We start from the raw sequence: 19,377 nt of genomic DNA, 5'->3' as shown, positions 1-19,377 counted from the left end.
GCCACCACGTCCGGCGAATTTTTTGTATTTTTAGTGGAGATGGGGTTTCACCATTCACAGGATGGTCTCGATCTCGAGGTCAGGATAGTATCACAGTTTACTCATTTTTTGCATTCCCTTGCCGAGTAGCTGCTTTTCTCTATAAAATCCATTAACTGAGATAACAAATCACCTTTTGTTACTGGTGAACAATTAGTTTGGCATATATTTATGTACTGGAATATAATGCAGCTTGAAATCAAGGCATGCCTCACTCATAAAAAAGCGTGGCTAAATTCTCAAGTTATTGTGCAGAGTGAAAGAAGCTAAGGAATTAAGAGTAAATTTTATATAATTCATATGTAGAAACTTTAGAAGATGCCACTATTAAAAATTAACATGAATAACATTTAAATTTTTCTGAGAATATGGTTTTGTGAATAATGAGGATGTGAGTTAAATTTGAGAGGAATAAGAAAAGATTTAGGGATTAATTATTCAAGACGATTGAAGTGCTGAGTGAATGGTTGCAAACATAGGTCTACATTTTTCAAATCATTCACTATAAATTTGAATTAACTATTTATTTATTATACTTGAATAAATCAATAACATAAATAAATGAATATTTTTGTTAAAATGGAGCAATAAAAAGACTGATATTGGCAGAAGAAACATGACTGACTTCTGAAAATACACACACATGAACCTTGGTTCTCTCTGCATATTTGGGTAAATTACAGAAAGTTGTCATAACAGATAGGGAATCCTGCAGACTTCACTAGGCATGGGCCACACTGCCCTGGAGTTGTCTCAGGGGAGCTGCCTCCTCCAGTGTTTAGAGCACAGGCCCAGATAATAGGACTAAATTTGTTTAGATGTATAAACTTAGATGCACTGCACAACTGCTGTATTCTCTATGTAAATTATATTCTGTAAAATATAACATTGAAAGCTGCATTAAATATATTGTGTAAATATGTAAAAATAAAATCAGATTATGAGAGCTAAATGTTAATCAAGGCACAATCACATAATATAAAATTATATTTTCCTGAATGATGGAATTACTACCAATCTCCCCCAAGACACTTCATCTGCACGGAGCCTGGCCCTCTCTTCAGATGTCCCACCCCAGAGCTTGCTATATAGTGGGGGACATGGAAATAGGGGCCTCCCTCTGCTGATGAAAACCAGCCCAGCCCTGACCCTGCAGCTCTGGGAGAGGAGCCCCAGCACTGGGATTCCGAGGCTTTCCATTCGGTGATCAGCACTGAACACAGAGGACTCACCATGGAGTTTGAGCTCAGCTGGGTTTTCCTTGTTGCTATTTTACAAGGTGATTCATGGAGAACTAAAGAGATTGAGTGTGAGTGAACATGAGTGAGAGAAACACTGGATATGTGTGGGAGTTTCTGACCAGTGTCTCTGTGTTTGCAGGTGTCCACTGTGAGGTGCAGCTGGTAGAGTCTGGGAGAGGCTTGGCCCAGCCTGGGGGGTACCTAAAACTCTCCGGTGCAGCCTCTGGATTCACCGTCGGTAGCTGGTACATGAGCTGGATCCACCAGGCTCCAGGGAAGGGTCTGGAGTGGGTCTCATACATTAGTAGTAGTGGTTGTAGCACAAACTACGCAGACTCTGTGAAGGGCAGATTCACCATCTCCACAGACAACTCAAAGAACACGCTCTACCTGCAAATGAACAGCCTGAGAGTGGAGGACACGGCCGTGTATTACTGTGCAAGAGACACAGTGAGGGGAGGTCATTGTGCGCCCAGACACAAATCTCCCTGCAGGAACACAGGGTGGAATCAGCTGCAGGGGGCGCTCAGGAGCCACTAATCAGAGTCAGCCCCGGAGGCAGGTGCAGATGGAGGCTGATTTCCTGTCAGGATGTGGGACTTTCTCTACTTCTTAGTTTCGCCAGGGAACCTCTCTAAGTTTAGAATTCTTTGCCTAACAATGTCTTCGCTAAGTATTTGAAGGAGATTATTTTAATATGAAGAGCTATTTTCACATGCACAAAATGCAGATTGATGCTTACAGGGATGAAAAGTCCATCAATGATAGACTGGATTAAGAAAATGTGGCACATATACACCATGGAATACTATGCAGTCATAAAAATTGATGAGTTCGTGTCCTTTGTAGGGACATGGATAAAGCTGGAAACCATCATTCTCAGCAAACTATCACAAGGACAAAAAACCAAACACCGCATGTTCTCACTCACAGGTAGGAATTGAACAATGAGAACACATGGACACAGGAAGGGGAACACACACCAGGGCCTGTTGTGGGGTGTGGGGAGAGGGGAGGGATAGCGTTAGGAGATATACCTAATGTAAATGATGAGTTAATGGGTGCAGCACACCAACATGGCACATGTATACATATGTAACAAACCTGCACATTGTGCACATGTACACTAGAACTTAAAGTATAATAAAATATATATATATTATATATATATATATATATATATATAAAGTCCTCAAACATGGTCACCACGATCAGAGCCCTGAGTAAGCTCAGGGTTTCCTGATGAGTCTTCTCCAATCAGACCCAGGACAGGGACCTCAGTGAGCCTCCATGACTGGAACAGTCTTTACAGATCCTGATCACAGACGATAGAGGCTGGGCCAGGGTCAGTGTCATGTAGAACCTCACAGGTTTCACGTCTGATCCTTCTTCTGACACTAAATATGCAAATCAGCATCAACACTGATCTGGTGCTTCTTTTGTTCCTAATCCATTTACTTCCTTTTTCAGTCGTTGTTCTCATTTTTCCGTTTGCTTTTCCTGCTTTCTGGAAAAGGAAGATGTTTCCCTGTGGTCAAAATTCCAGGCCTCAAGCCCTTTCCTGGCGCTCAGGTGGGTCTCAGGCTGTGGCTGCTGCAGTCACGCGGGAGAGGCTGGTGGGACTTTCTTCACTCCTCGTCACTCAGGACCCTCCACTGTGTTGCATGGAGACTTATCTGGAAATGCAAGTTGCCGGTGGGAACTGAAGGGGCCAAGCTTGTTTGGTTAATGTGGGATGTGGATGTGGAGCTAATCCTGTTCTCAGAAACCTTCACAGAGTAACTTTCTTCACTAGCGGTGTGAGGAAGAGGGTGTGAAAGTTGTCAGAATCAAAATAGAACAACTTGAGTTATAAACTTTACAGGTGAAGCTGGAGAAGGTCATGAACAGAGGGTTCTCATGCACACATCCTTGATAACAAGAAGTACCATAAAAATACTCTGCACAGCCGGGTGTGGTGGCTCACACCTGTAATCCCAGCACTTTGGGAGGCCAAGGTGGGCAGATCACCTGAGGTCAGGAGTTGGAGACCAGTCTGGCCAAGACGGTGAAACCCCGTCTCTACTAAAAAATACAAAAAACAAAAAATAGCCTGGCATGGTGGTGTATGCCTGTAGTCCCAGCTACTTGGGAGGCTGAGGCAGGAGAGTCGCTTGAACCCCGGAGGCAGAGGTTGCAGTGAGCCAAGATTGTGCCACTGCAGTCCAGCCTGAGTGACAGAGTGACACTCTCACACACATGCACGCACACACACACACACAAATTATCTGCACAACTACAACCTTGAACAAAGGCTAAGGCTACCACAACAATAAGAGAATTAATACTGTGGGGATATCTGCCCTGCCACTCCCTGTCCAACCTTAAACTTATTCTACCCTTGTTATTGATTCTTCTACCCCCGGATAGTTGTCTCAAAACAGCTCATGTAAGCCTCCTCATTTATCCTTTAAAACACTTGTCTTCCTCTATCTACCTAAATGTGCCCATGCATATTCCCATTACAATGCTCATTTTCAACTAAATATTATTTGATTTTGGAGAATCTCTTTCTCTCTGATATTCAGGTGTGACAAGGTGCAGAGGGACATGCCACTTTCCTGTGAGATGTAGGGGATGACAATTTTGGGGGATGGCTGGAAACCTCCAATATCCTCAGGGCTGGCCATCAGTAAGTGCAGGCTGGAAGTCTCAGAAAGAGCTGAAGCTGCTTAATCACCCTGGAGTTTTACCTTCTCCAGATCTGCTCTGTTGGATTCAGGGCTAAGCTGGTTATCCATGATAATCTACCTAACATAGAGTCAACTGGTTACAGTTTTAATAATGTCTATTGAAAAATTCACACCACCACCCGGATTAGTGTTTTGTCAAATCAATACAAATTATTGTCCAGCCAAGTACACCATATGACAGATCATTAGCCATGGAGGAAAACATTTAACCTGAGTTCTAGGTTCTTATACTGTTAAAGGTGTAAAACCAATTATTTTAAAATCAGGCTATTTTTATTTTTGCTATTGAGTTATGGAAGTTTTATTTATATATTGGATATAAACACTTTTTCAGATACATGGTATATTATCCAATTCTGTAAGTTGGAATTATTTCGTTGCTTTGCAGAATCTTTTGTAAAATCTGGTCCCACTTGTTCAATTCTGCTTTTTTTGTACGTGCTTTGAATGTAAAATCCAGAAAAAGATTGCTAATTTTTTCAGGGGTGGGAGTTTTATAATTACACATATTACATTTAAATATTTAATGCATTTAGAGTTAATTTTTGTGTTTATTCTATCCTAAAATTCTTAATTCTTTGCATGTGAAAATCCAGTTTTCATAACATGCTCTTTGGAAGACACTATAATTTAGACATTGTATATCACTGGTTCTCATGCTGAAAATCAGCTGGCCATCAATATGTGGGTTTATATCTAAGCTCTCTGTATGCATTTATGCCAATACCATTCTGATTTATTACTCTATGTTTATAATAAATTTTCAGGCCTGGAAGTGTAATACCTCAAGCTTTATTCTTGCCTTGTTTCAGATATTAGACCAAAATATTCTAACCTTTTACTATTGAGTATAACAATAGCTGTGACTTTTCTTAATGGCTTTTATTATGTACAAGTTGTTTTGCTGTCTTCCTACTTTGTTCAGAGTTTTTATAATGAAACCCTGAATTTTTTCAAATGTTTTTTCTATGTCTGTTGAAATGCTATTGAGATATTTTTTCTTTAGTTTTTTAATGTGGTGTACCAAATTGATTGATTTGAGGAGACTGAATCATCTGTGCAACTCAGAATAAATTTGAGTTGATCATGGTGTATGGTTTTTAAAAAAACTTTAGAACTTAGTTTACTAAATTTGGAGTGGTTAATTTTTGTCTACCAATGATATTGATCTATAATTTTATTTTATTGTGGTGCCTTTGTCTATTAATGGTAATATTACTGGTAATAGTGTAATGGTAGCCTCAGAAATAGTTTGGAAGGTTGACTTTTCACAAATTTTTGAAAGAGAGAATGGTTAGCATTACTTCTTTAAATGTTAATGCTCATTTTATGATGTAACATATAACCTATCATGGAGAATGTTCAATCTGTGCTCGAGAAGAACGTGTATTACATGGCTCTTGGTTCGAAGGTTCTATAACTGTCTTTCAGGTGAATTTGTCCAATAGTGTTGTTCAAATTCAGAGGCTTAAGAATTTTCTTTCTGGATTTGCTAAACATTATTGTAAGTGAGGTATTAAGGTCTTCTCTTATGTTTATATTGTTTTCTATTTCTCTCTTTATATCTCTTAAAGTTTGCTTAATGCAGTTGTATTTGAATTTGTACACATGTGTGAAAAATAATAATTGCTAAGTGAGTTTCATGGTACAGTCACATTATAAGTAATCATATTTTCCAAGTGCTACTGTTGCCAATGAACTCCTCCAGGTGTCTCACATCTGCTCTGGGCTCTGCCCTCTCCTCAGGCATCCCACATCACAGCTTGCTACAGAAGAGAAGGCAGGAAAACAGGGCCCTCTCTCTCCGAGTGAAAATAAGCACAGACCTGACCCTGCAGCTCTGAGAGAAGACCCACAGCCCTGGGATTCCCAGGGGTTTCCATCTGGTAATCAGGACTGAACACAGAAGACTCAGTATGGGAGAAATACACGAAATATTTGTTCTCAGACATGAGACACCCACAGAGGGCCCCCTGTGTCCTTCCCTGAGAACTGATCAGCTCTTGCATCTGAAGAAATGACCAAAGACCAGGAGAGAACCATACAGAAGCATCGGAGGGACAGCACCTGGGGCTCTCATGGGGTCAGGAATAGCGTCTGTTCCCAATAGATGGACTAAGTAAAAAGTATCATAATTCTCAAGGGTTTAACATAGCACAGAAGAAAAAGTTACCCTATACCAACTGTTGATCTTGTGAGCCCAGGAACTCTGAGACAGATCTCAGTTAATTTAGAAAGTTTTCTTTGCCAGGGTTGAGGACACACCTGTGACACAGCCTCAGGAAGTCCTGATGACATGTGCCCCAGGTGGTTGGGCACAGCTGGATTTGCACATTTCAGGGAGACATGAGACATCAATCAATATAAGTAAGAAGGACATTAGTTCCATCCAGAAAGGCTGAGACAACTCAAAACAAGTCCTCCCCACTCAGGGCTTCCAGGTCACAGGTAGGTGACAGACAGATGGTTGCATTCTTTTCAGTTTCTGATAAGTGTTTGCAAAGGAGGCCATGAGAATATGCATCTATCTCTGTGACCAGAGGGACAACTTTTAATAGACTGGAAGGCAGATTTGCCCTGAGTGGTTCCCAGCTTGACGGGGCCCAAGATATTTTCCTTTCACAATCTGGTAACTTCAAACAAAACTTCAAAGCCACAACAAAATGAAACAACAACAAAAAGAATAAGACATGGGTACTTATTAAGAGTAGAAAAATATTCAATCCCCAAGGAAAATATTGGCAGTATCTACCTCCACGTGACGAAGGAGTAAGCAATGTGAGCCACAGAAAGGAGCACTATTAACCCACAGAGTGACCGAGAATAACATGGGTGATGCGAGGGCATTGAACACACATCATTGTATTTTGTAGATTCAGAAAGCAACAGAAAAGATTGACAGTGGTAAAAGAGACAGAGCCCTGCTTCCCTCTCCCTTTTCCCTTCCCGATGAGCCCTCACAGCCATGACCCTCAGCCTCATCCTGCAGTGCAGCAGCTGCCATCCTGTCCAGGCCCGCCCCCTGCCCCGCCCTGGGACTGTTACCTTATTCTCTCCCGGAGTCCAGGTGCCCCAGCGTGTGGTGTGGGAGCCTGGGGAGGCCCTTTGTTCTCTGTCAGGGTCTCCCTGGGAGGGACGCAGCCACCGCAGCTGGTTGGGGCCTGGCTTTGCCGAGGACAGTCCTTTCCTTTCCCATTGTCTTTGGATGACTATCCCTGGGCTGGGACATGAGGCAGGCAGAGGCGCGGGTCACCCTTAGGGCCCCCCTCTTGCTGCTGGGGCTCTGGGTGCTCCTGACTCCAGTCCGGTGTTCTCAAGGCCATCCCTCGTGGCACTACGCATCCTCCAAGGTGGTGATTCCCAGGAAGGAGACGCACCACGGCAAAGACCTTCAGTTTCTGGGCTGGCTGTCCTACAGCCTGCATTTTGGGGGTCAAAGACACATCATTCACATGCGGAGGAAACACCTTCTTTGGCCCAGACATCTGCTGGTGACAACTCAGGATGACCAAGGAGCCTTGCAGATGGATGACCCCTACATCCCTCCAGACTGCTACTATCTCAGCTACCTGGAGGAGGTTCCTCTGTCCATGGTCACCGTGGACATGTGCTGTGGGGGCCTCAGAGGCATCATGAAGCTGGACGACCTTGCCTATGAAATCAAACCCCTCCAGGATTCCCGCAGGCTTGAACATGTTTCTCAGATAGTGGCCGAGCCCAACGCAACGGGGCCCACATTTAGAGATGGTGACAATGAGGAGACAAACCCCCTGTTCTCTGAAGCAAATGACAGCATGAATCCCAGGATATCTAATTGGCTGTATAGTTCTCATAGAGGCAATATAAAAGGCCACGTTCAATGTTCCAATTCATATTGTCGTGTAGATGACAATATTACAACTTGTTCCAAGGAGGTGGTCCAGATGTTCAGTCTCAGTGACAGCATTGTTCAAAATATTGATCTGCGGTACTATATTTATCTTTTGACCATATATAATAATTGTGACCCAGCCCCTGTGAATGACTATCGAGTTCAGAGTGCAATGTTTACCTATTTTAGAACAACCTTTTTTGATACTTTTCGTGTTCATTCACCCACACTACTTATTAAAGAGGCACCACATGAATGTAACTATGAACCACAAAGGTATAGCTTCTGTACACATTTAGGCCTATTACACATTGGTACTCTAGGCAGACATTATTTATTAGTAGCCGTCATAACAACCCAGACACTGATGAGAAGTACTGGTGAGAAGTACTGGTGATGATAACTACTGCACATGTCAGAAAAGGGCCTTCTGCATTATGCAGCAATATCCTGGGATGACAGATGCGTTCAGTAACTGTTCTTATGGACATGCACAAAATTGTTTTGTACATTCAGCCCGGTGTGTTTTCGAAACACTTGCTCCTGTGTATAATGAAACCATGACAATGGTTCGCTGTGGAAACCTCATAGCGGATGGGAGGGAGGAATGTGACTGTGGCTCCTTCAAGTAGTGTTATGCCAGTTATTGCTGCCGAAGTGACTGTCGCTTAACACCGGGGAGCATCTGTCATATAGGAGAGTGCTGTACAAACTGCAGCTACTCCCCACCAGGGACTCTCTGCAGACCTATCCAAAATATATGTGACCTTCCAGAGTACTGTCACGGGACCACCGTGACATGCCCCGCAAACTTTTATATGCAAGATGGAACCCCGTGCACTGAAGAAGGCTACTGCTATCATGGGAACTGCACTGACCGCAATGTGCTCTGCAAGGTAATCTTTGGTGTCAGTGCTGAGGAGGCTCCTGAGGTCTGCTATGACATAAATCTTGAAAGTTACCGATTTGGACATTGTACTTGACGACAAACAGCTCTCAACAACCAGGCTTGTGCAGGAATAGATAAGTTTTGTGGAAGACTGCAGTGTACCAGTGTGACCCATCTTCCCCGGCTGCAGGAACATGTTTCATTCCATCACTCAGTGACAGGAGGATTTCAGTGTTTTGGACTGGATGACCACCGTGCAACAGACACAACTGATGTTGGGTGTGTGATAGATGGCACTCCTTGTGTTCATGGAAACTTCTGTAATAACACCAGGTGCAATGCGACTATCACTTCACTGGGCTACGACTGTCGCCCTGAGAAGTGCAGTCATAGAGGGGTGTGCAACAACAGAAGGAACTGCCATTGCCATATAGGCTGGGATCCTCCACTGTGCCTAAGAAGAGGTGCTGGTGGGAGTGTCGACAGCGGGCCACCTCCAAAAATAACACGTTCGGTCAAACAAAGCCAACAATCAGTGATGTATCTGAGAGTGGTCTTTGGTCGTATTTACACCTTCATAATTGCACTGCTCTTTGGGATGGCCACAAATGTGTGAACTATCAGGACCACCACTGTTAAGGGATGGACAGTTACTAACCCTGAATAAGACTAATTCAGCCTCCTGATCCCTGTAAAGATACAGAGACTATAACAGCAAAATCTATGGAACAGCATCAAAGGAAGGGATGGCAAAGCTCAAGTCCACATTTCTTGAAGTCCACAGGAGGCACAGGGTCCTGTCTCACATCATGGGGGAAACGGGAGGTACTGGCTTCTGTCCAGGTTCTTGTAGGTCACTGATGCTCGCTCTGAAATAAATCTTCAAAAACACATTTTGGTGCCTTCCACATTTTCTTAGACTCCCCTGGGATCCCAAACTTGGCCAGAACCTCTGGCCTGGAGAGACCTGAGTGAGCATCTGGCTCTTGATCTGAGGTTGCTGGTCCCAGAATTAATGGAAGTTGCCACCAGCTCCTTACAGGGCACATTCATGACATTTCTCTAGAAGAGAACTCCAGAGCAATGAGCTTCCTCATTCCCCAGGTAGTCTGTCCTTCTCTAAACCCGAAGTCAGTTTAGGGTGATCCAGGGCTACTCCCTGTTCCCTGTCTGTTCCTCACGGGGGTGCTGTGGGCTTTGCAGTGAGAGGAACTTGGGTTCAAATACCCCACCAAGCAAATCCCCCTACCTGGGGCCAAGCTTCCCGTATGTGGGAAAATGAATCCCTGAAGTTGATTGCTGCATGCAATGAAATTCAACTAGAAAAATAGGTAGATGTGCGGGGCAAGCTCTCTGGCATTTAGTGTGAGCTCCGTGAGTGGCAGCTGCCCCCTTCCTTCCTGCCCCCACAATTCCTTGAACTGAAATGGGAAGGAAAGCTGAGTAAGTCGTGATGAGGAAGAGAAACCAGGCTTGTAGCAGCACAGGCTGGTCCAGGTGTAAAACAGGGCTAGGTGTGTCGCTGAGTTATTGTAAAGGAAAATGGAAGTTAAATGTATAAATAACCGAATGAGATAACATTTTATTTTAAATTAAAATTCACAATAATATTGACTTTTAAAATGCAGTGTAGGTATGTCACAGAGAATTTCAAAGGCAAAGCCCACCAACGGAAGAAATCACCCTTCTCATACCATCCACAGAAAACCGCTCATATTCTAGGGTAGTACTGAGATCTAGCATTTTTCTGAATACATCTGTGGTTCTAGATGTTCTGCTTCCATAGATATTGTTTAGAATTCCCACCCCTTTCTCCAAACACAGCTTGATATCCTTTCTCTGAACCTGCTTAGAAATTTCCTCCATTCAGCTGTCATAAAGATGTGAGCAATCCATTCCTGTGCCTCTCTCAGTGTATTCTATTATTTTGTGGGTGAACGCTAATGGACAGTGAGTGTGAGGTCAGTGAATACAGCCCTCCACCTGTGTGTCCTTCGGGTGTGAGGGGTTTTGCTGATAGAGCAGCAGGCCCCGTCCCACCCTTTATGCATCTCTGCCCCCCACCTCGTGCTCCAGCTGACCTCTCCCCTGTGGCATGGGGGGTTCCCTGGGGGAATGACCTCCCCTCTCTCCAGGGCCCACCCACTCAGTGCCCATGCAAGACCACCGTGCTTGGCACAGCCCCACCTTGTGTCAGGGCCTGTGTCTCCTGCCCCACCCCCTAAACAGATGGGAACCGCTGAGACACTGCTCAGGGCAGGGGGCGGAGGTATGTGCAGAAGGAAGGCAAATGTGCACTCTGTTGGAGAAATATTATAGGTAGTTTGAGCAAAAAATCTAATGCCATGTGAACTTTTAGAATGATACATATTTTAACAAAGATTGCGACCAATAGAGTTCATATTGAAGTCAGGTAAACACTATTTAGAGCAACAACAATATCAAAAACACAAGCCAACAGTTCACCAAGAGAAACCACCATTAACCCCATGGAAATGGTCTTTCAAGAACATCAGCACTTAAATCCTCCAAATCTGCCTGCCTCAGCACCTGTTGTCTTGAACTGTCCTTCTGTGTGTTCTAATCACTCCTAAACATGGGGCCTGCACTGTGGGAGATCCAAGCTGTGCCAGGTGGAGGGAGCAGGACAACTGTTACCAGGTTGTTTGTGTGGATGCCGAGGCCACCCGAGCAGGTGTAAACTCCCACCTGTGGGCCAGAGAAGAGAGCACAGGAGACATGTCCTGGGCATAGGGTGAGGGAGAGCTGTGGGGGCTCTGGGTTCTGAGGAGGGTTCTGGCCTGGCAGGGACAAGACCAACCAGCACGTGAGGCCAGGCTGGAGTCTGGACCTCTGAGGCTGCAAGGGTCATGGGCTGCTTGGCCCAAGGGGCTGTCCTGGTTCTCTAAGGAGTAATTTCAAACATTCCTTCTTCCTCCCATCCCTCTCCTTCTCTCTTTCTGGGGTGGGTCCACTCCCAGAGCCTGCAACTCCCAAATCCTCTTTGATGGGTCCTCGGCTTCACTCTGCATCCGTCCTGAGCATCGATCTTCCAATTCCATCCTCTTCTCCTCTGCTGTGTCTAAGCTGCTGTGAAGCCACCTGCTGTAATTTACTGTTTTATATTTAATATTGTAGCATACATCTGTTCTGTTTCCTTCATCATAAATGCTTCATTTCATGCTCAGCATCTGAGAACACAAGGCCTTGTCAGCTGTCACCTCCTTCCATTCTCTGTTTCCTTCCTCCTATCCCCATGTTTGCTCATCATGTCCAGTCTCCTGCCATCCTGAACGCTTCTGATGGAAGGTCCGAGATGTCTCATGAGCATTGTGAAAATTCTTTGTAATGTGACATTGTTCCAGGCAGGAATTCTCCCTCACCCACCCCGGAAGTCAAGTATAGGCAGATTGCCATGCTCAATCAAAGGCTGAGCTAACTTAACAGTGGCTTTGGTTTTAAGGTTTGTCCAATCCCCAGGGCACAGGATTTCAGGAAGTTCAGGTGACAGTCTGGGTGTTACCCTTCAGGAGGTTGTAAAGTCCATTTCACCTAGTCTATACCACAGACTATGGAAACTATATATATATATATATATATATATATATATATATATAGTGCTGTCCCTCTAGAGAACCCTAATATGTATATATAATATATATAACATGCCCTGTCATTAAGATCAATGGGAAACTACAACAGTATATATATATATATATATATATATATAATATATAAAATATATATATAATATAGATAATATATACTATATATAATAGTATATATACTATATATAATATATTATTTATGTATTATATACATTATATTATATTATATATGTATTATATACATTATATTATAATATTATATATGTATTATATAATATATTAATACCTTGCTAATCGTAGGTTATGGAAAGATTGCGTTTCTGTTTTAAGGCTCTGTTAGAAATTACTGGCGCACACACTATATTGTAAATTCTTATCTCTGTGTACTGTACTTCTACATACAAATGTTATGTTAAAGAATTACTTCATCCCCATGTCACCATCTCACCTCATAATCAAATGACCCTAAATCCCTCACTAACCTACCCCCACCCTCACTAAAACTTAATAATAAATGCTGGTACATCCAGTGCATTGTTGGCACTGTGGGACCAGTAGGTGGTGACCCCCCTGGACCCAGCTTTCATTGTCTTGTGTGTGTCTATTATTTCTCAACCTGCCAATCCGCCTGGGAACAAAGAGAGAGCCCCATTGCATTGTGGGCTGCTGGCCAGATCCCGCAATACATAATTTCCTCATTTGCAAAGTTACTTAGGTCAGCAATTTCATTTTCAACTTTCTTCAGTAAAGTCATTTCAATTACACTGTATAATTTCATTTATTTGAAATTCAGTAAAAGCCCAAACTATAGCCAAGTAAACAGATAGAGGATATTCCAGGAATTTAGAGAAGTGGGTATAAAATAAGCAAAAAATATACTGTTTAAGAAGAGTAAAACTGTATTTAGTCATATGCCATGGTTGAGATATGACACAATTAATTTGTCTAAGATCATAATTTTGTGATAAAAATACAAAACCAAATATATACAATTTAAAAAAAATATTTAGCAGTTCATTAAACCTTGGATTAAATGCAGACTGTATAAAATTATCTAACAACATATTTGTGAGTGTGGGGATGTCAGGAGATGCATGAAACTAAGAATGAAATAATTTTCCTCATTTTCATATAAGATGCTTCCATTCACTAAAGATCTTTTATTTTAAAAAATCAATTTTCTACATTAGCCAGGTTTTTTATTAATGACAAGCAAATAACCCAGAAGATTATTTTCTTTCCTTGGTTGAGAAAGATTTTCCCCAAACTTCAGCTCAGTTCAGGCATATGCTGTCCCTGAATGAGCATTTACCCTCAGATGGGTACACACATCTGTCAACATATGGACCCTTCTGTCAGACAAACACACCTTTACTCATGTGGATTCTTCCCTCAGACAAACACACATGTCCTCACATGAACTCTTTCCTCAGACTACCACATATGTCCTTACATTTACTCTTTCCTCAGAAAAAAGACATTTTCTAATGTGGACTCCTGTCTCAAACAATCAGATATGTCTCCATGAGAACTCTTCACTCAGATACGTACATGCATTTCCACATTTTTTCCTTACACAAGTACATATATCTAATGTTGAACTGTTTGCTGCAAAATGATCTCAAGATAATGAAAATTATAAACCCCAACCCTGAAATGCATTTTTTGCATTGTAATTATAATTTTGCATTGTAATTTAACTTTGCCTTATTGTCAAGAACAGTGGTTTGCAGCTCCAAAAGCACTGATTACTGACAGATGTCCATTTTCTCTGGAAATGTATTCCTCATGTTCTTACTGGACTTATTTGTTGATAATGTTTGCAACTATGAAGATTCCTCAGCAGTGCCCACATTAGAGAATAAGAAAGAGTAATGGGCAGATTAACCCTGTGCATCCAGACCCGGGCATACTTTGACCTTGGCCTCCCTAAAATGCAGACCAGAGGATGGATGAGCAATGCTGAGTTGTGCACACATGACCACAAAAAGACGTGGAAATGTGTCTCCTCCCCTCCTCATGAAAGGCAGCTCATCCCCGTTCTTTCAGGCCTGGTGAGGAGCCACCCCATGTATGTTCCCTTCCTCAGTGTCCACACCATGAGGTCTGGATCTGGGATTCCCTTCTCATCACCCTCAATATTATGGTCCCTTGTGAATCAGGTCCAGCTGTGGCTGCTCCTCATGGGCTCTTCTCAGTTGGCTTCCTCTGTGTTTGCAGAAGTCCTGAGTGAAGTTCACTGGTGGAGTCAGAGGGAAAATGGTTTGCCCAGGGTTTCTCTGAGACTCTCCTGCAAAGCCTCTGGATTCACCTTTACTGACTAAAGCATGAGCTTGGTCCAGCAGATTTCATGACAGGGATTGGTGTGGGTGGCAACAGTGAGTGAACAAGTGGGAGTTCTCAGGGTTACTCTCCATGAGTATAAGTAAATTAACAGTCCCAAACAACACCCTTTCAAGTGCAGTCTACCTTAAAATGACCAATCTGAAAGCCAAGGACAAGGCTGTATATTACAGTGAGGGACACAGGAGAGGGAACATCCGTGTGAGCCCAGACACAAAAATCTCTGCAGGGAGAGAGGAGTGAACTGCATGGTAGATGCTGCTCACAACCACCAGGGGGCGCTCAGGACACGAGGGGGCGGTCAGGACAACAAGGGCGGGCTCAGGACAACAAAGGCAAACTCGGGAGCGCAGGAGATGCTCAGAACAGCCGGGAGCATTGAGAACCAGCAGGAGGTGCTCAGGACACCAGGGGGTGCTCCAGACACCAGGGGGTGTTCAGGACACCAGGATGCGCTCAGGAAACAAGGAGGCGCTCCGGACACCAGGGTCCCTCAGAACCACCAGGGGGCGCTGAGGACACCAGGGGGCATTCAGGATCACCAAGGAATGCCCAGGACCATTAGGGGGCGCTCAGGACACCAAACGGTGCTCAGAAACACCAGGTGGCCCTGAGGACACAAAGGGGCACTCAGAACCACCAGGGGACGCTCAGGACACTGGGGGTGCTCAGTTCACGAGGGTTCTCTTAGGAAGCAGCTCCACATCAGGAGGCTGGGAGGCTGTGGTTTCCTTTTAAACTTTGGTGATTCTTGACCTGGTCAAGCAAAAGGCTTTCCCAGGATCTCTCACCATTTCTTCCTTTTAACTCCATGGATTCTTTTACCTGCAAAACATTAACTTAGAACAGGGATTTAATTCAACTTCTAATGTTGCATATTTTCTGAATAACACTAGCAATGATCTCTCAGTACAATTTTTAAAATAGATTCTTTATATATTATATTCATTTGAAATAATACTATCATTAAAAGAGTAAAATTTAAAAAACCACACCTGTAATCCCAGCACTTTGGGAGGCTGAGGCAGGCAGATCACTTGAGCTCAGGAATTTTACAACAGCCTGGCAACATAGTGAGATCCTTTCTATTAAAAAAAAAATAGCTGGGTGTAGTGCTACCTGTGGTCCCAACTACTTGGAAGGTTGAGGCTTGAGGGTCTCCTGAGCCTGGGAGGTTGAGGCTGCAGTGAGCTGTGATTGTGCCACTGCACTCCAGCCTGGGTGACAAAGTGAGACCCAGTCTTAAAAAATGCGAATCCTCAATACAAACTCTGTTTCCCCGAATAAAAGAGTTTTGTGTTCATGTGCTGTAAGAGTCAAACAATCGCATAGGTTTTCTTACTTTAACTCAGCATATGCATGGTGTTTTGTTTCTTTTTGTTTTATCTACTGTTCGTGGAAATTAAACAGCACTTTAAAGACTCTTGTTCTCCACTTTGGTTGGCTTCTAATGTCCTGTTTTGCAGACTGTTTCTTCACCTTCCTTTCTTCTTTGAAAGCCTTTTATCTTCCTAAGTCTCCAGGGAGGAAACAGAAAGTCCCTTTACTTTCTGTCTTCCATGTGTGGTGAATCACTTCTCTTCTCTTCATAATCATTGAAGCCAACCAAGTTTAGGAGGATGACCATTCTTAGAATATACTCATCTACCTGCAGATTATCTGCCCTCCTCACCCTTTTCTAGGGTCCTGCAGACATCACCCCCATCCAATCCCCTCCTTTCCCTAAGTACCACAGAGTGGGCTCCACAGCTACTGCTGCCCTCTGTGTGCTCAGTCCTGGGGCTCACTAGTGCTTTGATGATGAAGCCCAAATCCCCATGTGTTTGCACACTCTCTGACCACCCTCTAGGAAGCTGCCAATGTGAGTGACTCCTGGAAAGCATGAGCTGGGTTCAGTTTCATATTACTGGATGTTCTCTATTATAAAGGATATTGGCAAATAAGGACTAGAGTTTGTATTAAATATTCATGCCATAAAATGTTTTTTCACAACTTTTCAAATAAAAAAAATTTATCCTGCCTAGTTTAAAACCATAATGTTAATTCAACAAATAATGTAATACAATTTAAAAAGTGAAGTTTGTCTTATTATTCTATTCATTAATAACAGACTGATATTTAAAATTAAATACCATTATACATTTAAATAACATATATGCCAATAATTGCATTTACATTCAGTTTTGCCAAAACACGAATTGAAATATGTTTGTATTTTAATATTGGAATAGGCAGACAGACACATAGAAAAATATTATTTTGTACTACAACCTCAAACTGCAAACACAATTTAAATGCAATTAAATAATTAAATAATATGAAACAAATGGGTGTGTTGGTGTGATGTTTAAATATACATGCATTTTTGCATGGGCACATGTATGTGTCTTTGCTGGGCTGTTGTGTATGTATGTGTGTTTGTATGACCATGAACTTTTCAAATACATCATTAAATTACATATTTATATTAATCTTGGCCAGGCATGGTGGCTGAGGCCTGTAATCCTGGCACTTTGGGAGGTGGAGGCAGGCAGATCACCTGAGGTCAAGAGTTCAAGACTGGCATGGCCAACATGGTAAAACCCCATCTCTACTAAAAATACAAAAAGTAGCTGGGTGTTGTGGCACGTGTCTTTATTCCCAGGTACTCAGCAGTTAAGGCAGGAGAATCGCTTGATCCTGGGAGGCAGAGGTGAAGTGAGCTGAGATTATGCCACTGCACTCCAGCTTGGGTGACAGAGTCACACTCCATCTTAGAAATAAATACATAGTTACATTAATCTAAATGTATCATGTTAAAATATTAGAAGAAAACTCTGTATTAGTCAGTTTTCACACTGTTATGAAGTAATATCCAAGACTGAGTAAGTTATTTAGAAAAGAGGCTTAATCGATTCAAAATTATGCATTGCTGGGGAGGCCTCTGGAAACTTTTAATTATGGCAGAAGGGAAAAGGGAAGCGAGGCATCTTCTTCACAAGGCAGCAGGATGGAAAATTGCAAGCTGGGGAAATGCCAAATGCTTATACAACCATCACATGTTGTGAGACACACTCATTATCACACGAACAGCCTGGGGGAACCTACTCCTGCAATTAAATTACCTCCATCGGGTCCCACTATTCGTATGTGAGATTATGGGGATGATAATTCAAGATGAGATTTTGGGTGGGGACACAGAGAAACCATATCATTCTTCTCCTGGCCCCTTCCAAATCTCATGTCCTCACATCTCAAAACACAATCATGCCTTTTCAACAGTCCCTTAAAGTCTTTTTTTTTCTTTTTTTTGTTTTTTGTTGTTGAGACGGAGTCTTGTTCTGTCAACAATCTGGAGTGGAGCAGTCCCCTAAAGTCTTAACTCAATCCAGCACTGACTCAAAAGTCCAAGTCCAAAATCTCATCAGAGACAAGGTAAGTCCCTTCCACCTATGAGCCTGTAAAATCAAAAGCAAGTTAGTTACTTCCTAGATACAATATAAGTATAGATATTGAGGAAAAACACCCATTCCAAATGGGAGAAATTGGCTGAAATGAGGAGCTACAGGCCCATGCAAGATCAAAATCCAATAGGGCAGTCATTAAACCTTAAAGTTCCAAAATAATCTCATTTGACTCCACGTCTCACTTCCAGGTCAGGCTGATGGAAGAGGTGGACTCTAATGGTTTCTGACAGTTCTGCCACCATGGCTTTGCAAAGTACAGCCCCATTCCCAGCTGCTTTCATGGACTGGTGTTGAGTGTTTTCAGCTTTTCCAGGCTCAGAGTGGAAGCTGTGAGTTGATCTCCCATTCTGGTTTCTGGAGGACAGTGGCCCTCTTCTCTCAGCTCCACTAGGCAGAGGCCCAGTGAGGACTCTGTATGGTGGCTTCAACCCCACATTTCTCTTCAGCACTACCCTAACAGAGGTTTTATATGATGGCTACATCACCCCCCAACCAGCAAACTTCTGCCTGGACATGAAGACATTTCCATACATTTTTCTGAAATCTAGGTGGAGGTTCCCAAATCTCTATTCTTAACTTCTGTGCAAACATGACAGGGAAGCTGCCAAGGTTTGGGATTTGCACCATCTGAAGCAGTGGCCTGAGCTGTGCCTTGGCCCCCTTAAGCTACAGCTGGAGCTGAAGTAGCTGGGACTCAAGGCACCATTTCCCAAAACTGCACAGAGCAGGAAAGCCCTGGACCAGGCACATGAAACCATTATTTTCCTTTTGGGGCTCTTGGCCTGTGATTGGAGGTACTGTCGTGAAGACCTCTGACATGTTCTGAAGACATTTTTCCCCACTTTCTTGGTGATTGGCACTTGGTTTCTTGTTACTTATGCAAATTTTTGCAGCTTGCTTGAGTTTTTACCCAGAAAATTGGTTTTTCTTTTCTATGGCATCGTCAGCTGAAAATGTTCCATACTTTTATGCTCTTGTTTGTCCTGAACGCTTTGCTGGTTAGAAATTTCTTCTGCCAGATACTCTAAACCACCTCTCTCAAGTTCAAAGTTCCACAGATCTCTAGGGCAGAGACAAAATGCTCCCAGTCTTCATGCTAAAGCATAGCAGAAGTCACCTTTGCTCCAATTCCCCAAAAGTTCCTAATCTCCATCTGGGACCCCCTCATCCTGGATTTTATTGTCCATATTACTATCAGCATTTTGTTC

General features: G+C 43.0%; 1 pseudogene; it reads left to right on the top strand.

Moving 5' to 3' along the window:
* The first annotated feature begins 8,443 nt into the window (after positions 1–8,443).
* LOC102723815 (disintegrin and metalloproteinase domain-containing protein 29-like) lies at positions 8,444–9,439 on the top strand (annotated as a pseudogene).
* Positions 9,440–19,377: the final 9,938 nt, after the last annotated feature.

This window comes from Homo sapiens (genome assembly GCF_000001405.40).
Source record: "Homo sapiens chromosome 16 unlocalized genomic scaffold, GRCh38.p14 Primary Assembly HSCHR16_RANDOM_CTG1".
NCBI lineage: Eukaryota > Metazoa > Chordata > Mammalia > Primates > Hominidae > Homo > Homo sapiens.
This window is presented reverse-complemented; position numbering and strand designations above follow the sequence as displayed.